This window comes from Homo sapiens, chromosome 3 (genome assembly GCF_000001405.40).
Source record: "Homo sapiens chromosome 3, GRCh38.p14 Primary Assembly".
In the NCBI taxonomy this organism is placed as follows: Eukaryota; Metazoa; Chordata; class Mammalia; order Primates; family Hominidae; genus Homo; species Homo sapiens.
The window spans coordinates 22,925,682-22,936,913 of NC_000003.12; the positions used below are offsets into that span (position 1 = coordinate 22,925,682).

At 36.6% G+C, this 11,232-nt stretch overlaps 2 annotated features.

Moving 5' to 3' along the window:
- Window positions 280-780: an enhancer, noted in NCBI's record as "H3K4me1 hESC enhancer chr3:22967452-22967952 (GRCh37/hg19 assembly coordinates)". NCBI's record gives its function as "activates a minimal SCP1, AML or CMV promoter by ChIP-STARR-seq in primed H9 embryonic stem cells {active_cell/tissue: H9 hESC(primed)}" and the evidence as "EXISTENCE:reporter gene assay evidence [ECO:0000049][PMID:30033119]".
- Window positions 6,743-6,912: an enhancer, noted in NCBI's record as "experimental_68424 CRE fragment used in MPRA reporter constructs". NCBI's record gives its function as "activates a minimal promoter by MPRAs in K562 erythroleukemia cells, with activity observed for the non-introgressed 3:22974000 variant allele {active_cell/tissue: K562}" and the evidence as "EXISTENCE:reporter gene assay evidence [ECO:0000049][PMID:34662402]".

Sequence of the window (11,232 nt, forward strand, 5' to 3'; positions counted from 1 at the left end):
ATATCAATAATGAGAGACGTTATATCACCAAAGATTCTGCAGATAATAAAAAGATAGTAAGGTAACATTTCAAACAACCTTATGCAAATAAATTCAGCAACATAGAGTAAATGGACAAATTCCATGAAAGACAAACTACCAAACTACACTCAAGAAGATATAGCCTGAAAGCATTATGTCTATTAACAAAATTGAGTTTATAGGTTAAAGAATTCCTGCAAAGAAAACTCCAGGTACACTTGACTTTACTGGAGAATTCTGTTAAAATTTTTAAAAAGAAATAATACCAATTCTACAAACACTTTTTTCAGAAAACTGAAAAGGCAAGGATGTTTTCTGACTTGTTCTATGGGGCCAGCATTATCTTAATGCCAAATAAAGGCATTATTTAAAAACAAAAAAAACTAATGCCCAAAATCCCTTATTAACATGAAAGTGAAAATTCTAATCAAAATTTAGAAAATTAAATTGAAGAAGATATAAAATTGATGTCACGACAAAGTATGATCTTATCCCAATAATGTAAAGTTGGTTTAACATTAGAAAATCAATCAATATAAATTACCATATTACCAAACGAAAAAAGAAAAACCAGGCTGGGCACGGTGGCTCATGCCTGTAATCCCAGCACTTCGGGAGGCCAAGGCGGGCAGATCACAAGTTCAGGAGATCGAGACCATCCTGGCTAACACGGTGAAACCCCGTCTCTGCTAAAAAATACAAAAAATTAGCCCGGCGTGGTGGCGGGCGCCTGTAGTCCCAGCTACTCGGGAGGCTGAGGCAGGAGAATGGCGTGAACCCGGGAGGCAGAGCTTGCAGTGAGCCGAGATCGTGCCACTGCACTCCAGCCTGGGCAACAGAGCAAGACTCCGTCTCAAAAAAAAAAAAAAAGAAAAAAAAGAAAAACCATATATTTATCTCAAGAAACACTAAAACTATTTTATGACATCTAGCATCCATTCATGATAAGAACTTTCATCAAACTAGGAATAGAAAGGAACTTCATCAACCTGACAAACACTCACAACTAATATTTTATTTGTATTTTAACGTCACGAGAAAAAACTGAATTATTTTCCCTTAAGATAAAGAACAAGACAAGGCTCTTCACCCTCACGGCTTCTGTTCAGCATTGTACCAGAGGTGGTAGCCAGTACAATAAGGCAAACAATGAAATAGAATGCATCCAAGTAGAAAAGAAAAAAGTAAAACTGACTTTATCCAAAGATGACATGATTATCTCTGCAGAAAATCTGGTGGAATCTACTAAAAAAAATTACTAGAACTAGTAAGTGGATTTTACAAAATGTCAATAAACAAAACTGAATTGTGCATGGTGGCTCACACCTATAATCCCAGGATTCTGGGAGGCCGAGACAGGAGGACTGCTTGAGCTCAGAAGTTCAAGACCAGCCTGGGAAACATAGTGAGACCTTGTCTCTCCAAAAAATAAAAAAATTAGCCAGGCCTGGTGGCATGGAACTGTAGTCTCAGCTACGTGGGTGGGACGGTGAGGAGGGGGGATTGCTTGAGCCCAGAAGGTCAAGGCTGCAGTAAGTCCTGATCACACCACTGCACTCTAGCCCAGGCAACAAAGTGAGACCCTGTCTCAAAAAATAATAATAATAATAAATTGTTTTTCTATATACTAGCAGTGAAAACTCGAATATTGAAATTAAAAATTAGTGTTATTTATATAGCATCAAAATATATTAAATAATCAGGGATGGATCTTACAAAAAATATAAAACACTAAAAACTTTAAACAATACTGAGAGAAATTAAGGAAGACCTAAACAACGGAAATATGGGAAATATATATTGAATTCGTGTGTTGAAAGACTCAGTGTCATTTCTCTCAAATTGATTAATAGGTTCAATATGTTCCCAATAAAATCCCAGCAATGTAGAAATTGACAAACACATTCTAAAATTCATATGAAAACACTAAGGACTCAGGGGAGGCAAAACAACTTGGAAAAAGAACAAAGTTGGAGAATTAACACTACCTCATTTCAAAACTTATTATAAAGCTACGATAATCAAAATAGTGGGATTAATATAAAGGTAGACAAATTCATCTGTGAAACAGAATGAAATATACAGAAACAGACTCATCCATATAGGAGCAGTTGATTTTTCACAAAGATACAAAGAAAAGTCAGTGAAGAAAGGACAGTCTTTTTGACAAATGATGCTCGGAAAATCGATGTCCATTCACACACACACACTGAAAAGAATTCATACCCCAGCTACATACAAATGTACAAAAAATAATTCAAAATGGATCTGTAAAAATCTTCTAGAAGAAAATAAAAGTTTTCTAGATACCACAAAGATTTTCTAGATTTTCTAGGCAAAGATTTTCTAGATACCACATCAAAAGCACAATCTATATAAGAACAAACTGGACTTCCTCAAAATTAAAAATTTTGCTCTTCAAAAAATACTGTAAAGAGAATAAACAGAAGCCACAACTTAGGAAAAAAATTGCAAACTGTGCTTCTTATAAGGGGCTTGTATTTAGAATTTATGAAGAATTTATAAAGAATCATATATTGCTGGTGTGGCAGGCCAATTCTCCCTGGCTATCACACAGACAGGCCTGCATGACAGTCACACAGACAGGCCTGCATAGCAACCCAGTTACACAGACAAATTTCCACTGCGCTGCCTTCACATTGAGCAAATAGTTAAACCTAGGGAAATCGGTGCCCAGACATCAAAGCTAGAAATGAAACACATGGTCAGTAGGAGGCTTGCATGGGCTTCTCCTTCGCTGGAGCAAGCCAAAATAATAAACAGTTTTACATTCCCAGTGCCAGGACCTGTCTTGGGTCAACAAAATCTGAGACAAGTCAAGGTAACAGAGGCAGCTGTTTGAATAGATTCAATGGAGAGTCTAAGGCAGCTCTCCAGACCAAGCTGTAAAGGAGATAAGATAGAAATAATCACTGCAGTACCACAATAGGCAGGCCTTGAATGTACTGGGGCCCTTTTAATCGGACTTAGCAAGCATTTTTTGCCTCTGACCTAGTTGGAACAAAATTAGTTACCAATAGACTTAGGCGAATGCTATGCTATAGGTACATAACCCCAATCTATATAAGGACTAAGAAAATTGTAACACTTTGAGTTGGTCTAGTGGAATTACCTCTGGCCTTCTCACTGTATCCAGTTACAGTAATAAATTCCCTTCTTCCTAGTTTGTCTGCTTCTCATTATTGGGACTTGAGAAAATGCAGCCGGACCCGGCTTCGTTCCAGGAACACTAGCAGGAATGTAAAATGGTATAACCACTCTGAAAAACAATTTGACAGGTTCTTAAACAGTTACACAAACACTACCATATGATCCAGCCATTCCATTCCTAGGTATTTTACCAAGAGAAAAGAAAGCATATGTCTACACAAACACTGTACATTGATGTTCATAACAAATTAATTTATGATAATCGAAAGCTGGAAACAACCTAGCTGTCCATCAACAGGTGAATGAATAAACAAACTAGTATATCTGCACAATGGAATTCTCCTCATTAATGAAAATGAACCCACTACATTCAATAGTAGTTGATTCCTACTGCAACATGAATGAATCTCAATATAAGTATGCTGACTGAAGAAGAACAATTAACAAAGAGTACATACTGTATGATTGCTTCCTATAAAATGCTAGAAAATGAGAACATAGAATATAGAGACAGAAAGCAGATCGGTCATTGCCTTGGGTTAGGGGTGAGGGAGGGAGAGGTGACAGGACAAGATTGCAAAGGGGCGTGATGGCTATCCTCAATATCTTGATTGTGGTGATGGTTTCATGGGTGCACGTTTACATCAAAACTTAGGAAATTGTACTCTTTAAATATGCACTGCTCATCTTCTGTCAATTATACTTTAATAAACCATTTTTATAACCTAAAATCTACATCTCAAATACTGCCTTCTCATTTAGTGGGACTTTGCCCCATACACCCTCCTCATCACATGCTTCTCATGTCAGAGTTAGTAAATACTACATACAAACAAGAAGAGGAGTTATGCAACTGGGAAGCACTTGGACACTCATCTCCAGAAAGGGTGAAGACCAATAATCTACCACAACCATATCTCAGTGGGTATATACAAAATTCCAGTTCAAGATAAGGTCACATACATTATACCTAACAAGTCTGGATGGAGACATAGCTTCAGAAAGACAGAATAGGCCAAGAAGAACCTAGATGCAAGGTGTTAATGAGAAAACCAAAGGCAATGACCAACATGAAAAATGGAGCCAACAAGAGTCATGCAAAAAAGACAGATCCAAGTCTACTGAATGGGGCTCAGGTCTAATTACATTAGTATTACAGTGTCTGCAAATTTACTTTAAAATACTTCATCAAGGTTATCATGATATTATGAGTTTATGCTTTAAATCTAGAGGCAGCCAGTTGCCCTGAGAATTCAAACTTTAAGGAAGATAAGCAGGTATTCTATTAGAAGTGCCATGCTCCATGGTACTGGTACCAAAACAGATATATAGACCAATGGAACAGAACAGAGACCTCACAAATAACACCACACATCTACAACCATCTGATCTTCAACAAACCTGACAAAAACAAGCAATGGGGAAAGGATTCCCTATTTAATAAATGGTGCAGGGAAAACTGGCTAACCAACTGCAGAAAACAGAAACTGGACCCCTTCTTTACACATTATACAAAAATTAACTCAAGATGGATTAAAGACTTAAATGTAAAACTCAAAACCATAAAAACCCTAGAGGAAAACCTAGGCAATATCATTCAGGACATAGGCATGTGCAAAGACATCGTGGCTAAAACACCAAAAGCAATTGCAACAAAAGCCAAACTTGAAAAATAGGATCTAATTAAACTAAAGAGTTTCTGCACAGCAAAAGAAACTATCATCAGAGTGAACAGGCAACCTACAGAATGGGAGAAAATTTTCGCAGTCTACCCATATGACAAACATCTAATATCCAGAATCTACAAGGAAATTAAACAAATTTACAAGAAAAAAAACAATCCCATCAAAAAGTGGGCAAAGGATATGAAGAGACATTTCTCAAAAGAAGACATTTATGTGGCCAATAAACATGAAAAAAAGCTCATCATCACTGGTCACTAAAGAAATGCAAATCAAAACCACAGTGAGATACCATCTCACTCCAGTAAGAATGGCGATTATAAAAAAGTCAGGAGACAATAGATGCTGGCGAGGCTGTGGAGAAATAGGAACACTTTTACACTGTTGGTGGGACTGTAAACTAGTTCAACCACTGTGGAAGACAGTGTGGCAATTCCTCAAGAATCTAGAACCAGAAATACCATTTGACTCAGCAATCCTATTACTGGGTATATACCCAAAGGATTATAAATCATTCTACTATAAAGACATATGCACATATGTTTATTGTGGCACTATTCACAATAGCAAAGACTTGGAACCTACCCAAATGTCCATCAAAGATAGACTGGATAAAGAAAATATGGCACGTATACACCATGGAATACTATGCAGCCATAAAAAAGAATGAGATCATGTCCTTTGCAGGGACATGGATGAAGCTGGAAGCCATTATTCTCAACAAACTAACACAGGAACAGAAAACCAAATATCACATGTTCTCACTTATAAGTGGGAGTTGAACAATGAGAACATATGGACTCAAGGAAGGGAGAAACACACACTAGAGCCTGTTGTGGGGTGGGGGACAAGGGGAGGGAGAGCATTAGGACAAATATGTAATCCATGCAGGATTTAAAACCCAGATGATGAGTTGATAGGTGAAGCAAACCACCATGGCACATGTATACCTGTATAAAAAACCTACTCGTTCTGTACATGTATCCCAGAACTTAAAGTAAAATAAAAATAATAATAATCATCATCACACACACAAAAAAAGAAATGCCATGCTTCAGCAGTGACGACTACAAATGGTTATTGATTAATATCAGATTGATCAATTGTAATGATTACCATATCATCAATATCAAATACTTTGCACATTAGCATAGCAAGTGTCATAAATGGATTTTTATTGGTGAAACTAGTGGCTTGTCTTATTGATGAAATGCCATGATCAATCTTAGTAATGGCTCTCATTGGTGAAATAACCAAGTGTAACAGACATGTGGCTTGGTTAAAGTTTTAGAGACACTCTGCCCTTCCATGAGGAGGAAATAGAACCTTGCAAAACCTGTATCCTTACGGTCTTGGAGACAACACCTATGTCCTGCTCTCCAAGGGGCCCGATTTCAGCCATTAATTAAGAGAATTTCTCATTTTCTGATTCCAAGTATAAGGGTATATAATTCCTTCTGAGAATATAGTTTTGTCTGCCCTGAATAAACTTTTCATGCAAGGTGATGGTTGTGGCATCTAAATGCAGAGAGAACTGGGATTTCCTTAAATTTACATAATAGGTTGTGAGAACAGATTATATCTACTTTCTAATTAGTTTGTTTAATAAGTGAGGAATCCAGAAGCTATCACCCCAGAATGGCATCAATGCCAAGAGTTCTCTTATATTCCAGTTTCTTCAACCCTCTATGGATAGAACAACTTAAAATTACTACTTCCAAATCCCATTTTCTAGAGGGGAAGAAACTATGTTAGGCTTTTACTGTTCTAAGGATGGTAGACAGCAGCTTGCCAGAGGGCCGTTCACTCAGTTGACAAAGGTGTATTAAGCACCTACCATGGGCTAGACACTGTGAATTAGTAGCTTGGTTAGTCATCGGGTTGGGGCCAGATGAGGCAGTGAAGGGCCACATCTCCAACAAGACCCTCCACTAGGGAAGAATGGGAAAGACAGAATGAAAAAGTAACTCTTATGCATGAGGAGCTGTATATCAAGGAAACTAGAGAAGAAAATTGAGACTCCTGATACCTACGAAACTGTGATTCTATCAGTGAAACTTGGCAATGGAAGTCCTGTTGTTAACATCATATGGACTGTGATCTAGTATGCATATACCCTCATCCTGGCCAGCATCCCTACATCCTATAACAAAGGTGATTCTTCAGATGGCTGTAGGTCCCTTGGGTTACTATGCCAAAGTTCCATCTTCAAAACATTTCTGACATTACATTATTTGCTCAAATCTTGGTATATTTGAAAGTTTTCCATAATAAATTTTTTGTGGTTTTGTTGTTTTTTTTTTTTTTTTTTGAGACAGAGTCTCGCTCTGTTGCCCAGACTGAATGGAATGCAGTGGCGTGATCTCGGCTCACTGCAACTTCCACCTCCCGGGTTCAAGCGATTCTCCTGCCTCAGCCTCCTGAGTAGCTGGGATTACAGGCAGCTGCCATCATGCCTGGCTAATTTTTTTGTATTTTTAGTAGAGATGGGGTTGGCGGGGCTGGTCTGAAACTACTGACCTCAAGTGATCTGCCCACCTCGGCCTTCCAAAGTGCTAGGATTACAGGCATGAGCCACCACGCCCAGCCCATAAGAAGGTATTTTTAAATCTTGGAATGCAAGAGGTTATCAGGCTTCACATGAACTTTCCCAGAGGTGAGAGACTACCACTGCATAAAGCTTACATTGAGCTGAAACTGAACTTCCTATAATGTCCACCAGTTGATCAGAGTCCTTTCCTGTGACGTACATAAAAGTAATCTTCACACAAAAGTAAATCTCTCAAAAAGAGGACCCTCCAGATAGGAAGACTGTTATTAATTTACTACCCAAAATGGGGACAAGTTTGAAAATAAAAAGTGGTGCTAAAATAATTGAAATATTATAATTTGAAATTTATATTTATTAATCAAATATCAGTTTTTAATATACTGGGGGGTTTATTTAAAAGTTATAATTCAAGAGCATTTTCCAAAATAAGTTTCTGTCTAAAAAAGTAAAAATAACACATGTGGAACAGATGCTAAGCCAGATGAGACACTGGGAACCAGGCATGAATGGGGAATGACCCAAGTGAAATCAAGCATATGGTCATGCTAGTTAATATGTCTCATCATCACTATCCTTGCTCAGGTTAAACATCCCAGTTCTTTGAATTGTTCTAACTTCTTCAGTATCCAATTTATTTCATCTAACAATACCCACTTAAAACATGGCATCAAAAATAAAACCCAATATTCCTGATGCGTTTTGACCAGTGCATGTTACAATGAAGCCATCATCTCCATAAATCCAAACATCATATTCTCTCAGTACTCCCTTTATACTGCAGCAGCCTCCCCAACAGCTGCATCCATACTGTTGGCTTTTATTCAGCTTGTAATCAACTGAAATATTTTGTCCCAAAGTGCTGCTAAACTGAGTCTTCCTCTTCATGAACATTCACAAAGAAGTTTATTTTCTAAATCTAAATTCAGGAATTATTTCTTGTTAGTTTCAGGTGATTATTGTAGACTCTTAATATAGTTTTTAATGAACAGCTTGTCATGCAATATATTATCTGTTCTTCTAATTTTTTTGTCACATCCAAAATTTGTTAAGCAAATTACATATGTGTATATATATCTTACGTATCTTACATATATATGTGTATATATGCATATATGTGTGTGTATATATGTGTGTATATATGTATATGTGTATATATGTATATATGTGTATACATATGTGTGTGTATATATATACGTATATATGTATATACGTATATATATACACACACATATGTATATATATACACACACATATATACAATATATACATATATACAATATATACATATATACATATATACACATATACACATATATACACATATACACATATACACACATATACACATATACACATATATACACATATACACATATACACATATACACATATATACATATATCATATATATATACATATATATACATATATACATATATATACACATATATACATATATACATATATACACACACACACACACACACACACACACACACATATATGTCTTTCACCCAAATCTTAAATCAAAATATTTAGCAGAACAGGGCCCAAGCTAGACTACCACTAGGAACTGGTTGATCCATTTAGTAACAGCTCTTTAACCAGGTAAGGAACCACCTAACCATGCTCACATTGAGCCCATATTTCTACATCTAATCCCAAAGAACATTATGAGAGATATTAAACAAACCAGAGACTTCCCTTTGAATGGAAGATGATAGAATCCTGAAAGTAATTTTCCAAACCATTTACCGTGATAGACAGTCTACCCATAACTGTCTTGTAAAGCAACCTGAAGGTTTTCCAGTAGTGAAAGACACCAGTTGTACAGAGTTCACCACACAACCCAACAGCTCAGCCCTCAACGTCTAAGTGCTGCCTGGTGAAAGTACAACCCAGAAGCAAAAGGGGAAAGCACATGAAGTGTATTTTGGTAACCAAGTTCTGTGATTCAGTACAGATGTTACATCCTCCATGCTCTTCTGTGGAGCATCTTGGTCTCACTGATGGGCCAGTCTGAGTTTTTCCTATCCAAGGTTCACATTGAAGCTAAGTTGAAAAGCTGTGGCAGGGATCCACAGTGACTCAACAGGAGGGGTTAACTTAAGCCAAGCATGGACAAGCAGAGAACTAGGGCCAAGAGAAACCTCTGATGAGGTGTGGCAGAGTATGACTTCAACTGCTAAAAACAGAGGAGAGGACACCATTAATCTCTACGACATACGTTAACAACAGCAACAAACATTCACTAAATAAAACCCAAAATGTCCAGAATCTGAATTACCCTGAAGACACCACAGTAGTCTCCATAACAATTTTTTCAAAGCAAAGTACAACTGTTTGAATTCAGAGATTATGAAGGAAGTGTGATCCAGAGAAAATGTACATCTGGTCTGAAATGAAGTTCCAGTTTCTTCACTTAAGTGTTAAGTGATTTAGAGTTTGTCATCTACTTTTCCCAAGCCTCAGCCTTATTACCTATAAATGGAGTCCTTTGTTCATGCCATGCCATGTTACAAAAAAGGAACTAAACCAACTAAAGGCAACTGTTACTCTGCCAACCTCACAGAGTGGTCGTAGAGATCAATGTGAAAATACAAATAAAAACTCCATATAAATATGTACCCTTATGATAATTAGCCATAATATTAAAATTTTATATTTTGTTAATCTGATTAAAGATTTATCTTAAAGGTTATGATAGATAGATGATAATGATGAAGAAGATAGATAGATAGATAGATAGATAGATAGATAGATAGATAGATAGATAGATACAGATAGATGAGAGAAAGATGATAGACACAGATATATTTATAAGAGCAGGAAGCTATATTTACTACATGCTGTCACTGAAATTTTCTCATAGAATAACAAAAATTTACACTTGGAATACAATTTTGCACACAGCCTTATCTTACAGATGAGCAAATTTGAGTTTAGCTGTGTTAAAATGATCTGTTTAATGTCAAGTTAGAAAAAAAAACACTAAGGCTAAATTCCAGATTTCCACTCAGTCCTATGTTCATTTCACTACACTAGGATGCTAATTCTGTTAATAATGACAATATCAGAATATTCAGTTCAGACTGTCACTATTCAAAAGATAAACAAAACTATCACCTTTACAATACTGCCAAGATACATCACAGAACATAACTTGGTGTGAGATTGCATTAATGTGTAATTTTCTCTACTCTCCTTTTCTCTTCCATGGGCCAGAACATGGCTTCATACTATTGAAAACAATGGTCTGGAAAGGCACTACCAATCCATCAGAGATGGCAAGTTGAATGGAATTATTTACACCTCTTAGGTATATTGGAAAGATATGGAATGAAAAACAGGAAACTTGAATTCTGGTTCAATTCCTGCAACTCCCTAGCCATGTCACATCAGGCAGGCAAGTTATGGGTACTTCCCCATTGGTAAAATGAGGATTGGGACTACCTGACCCATTTCCAGTTCAGATATCCTTTACTTCTACAACTAACATATACAGCCAGCATAAAAGAAAGGTAAAATAAATAAGATTACAACTGTTAAGGATAAAAGTGTGTACTGAGAGAAAAGAAAATTATCTCAACAGGTATACTTGTGATTTGTAATATTTCCTTATTATTGAATCAGATGATTACCAATATAACAACAACTATAGTTTATATTAGTTAGAGTATGCCAAACGCCTGTAACGAATTCCAAAAGACTCAAATACCCATAAGTTTATTCCTCTTTCACAAAAATGCCCGTGTGGCAAGTGTCTCTCCTCCACATGGTCATTCAGAGACCCAGGCTGATAGGGGG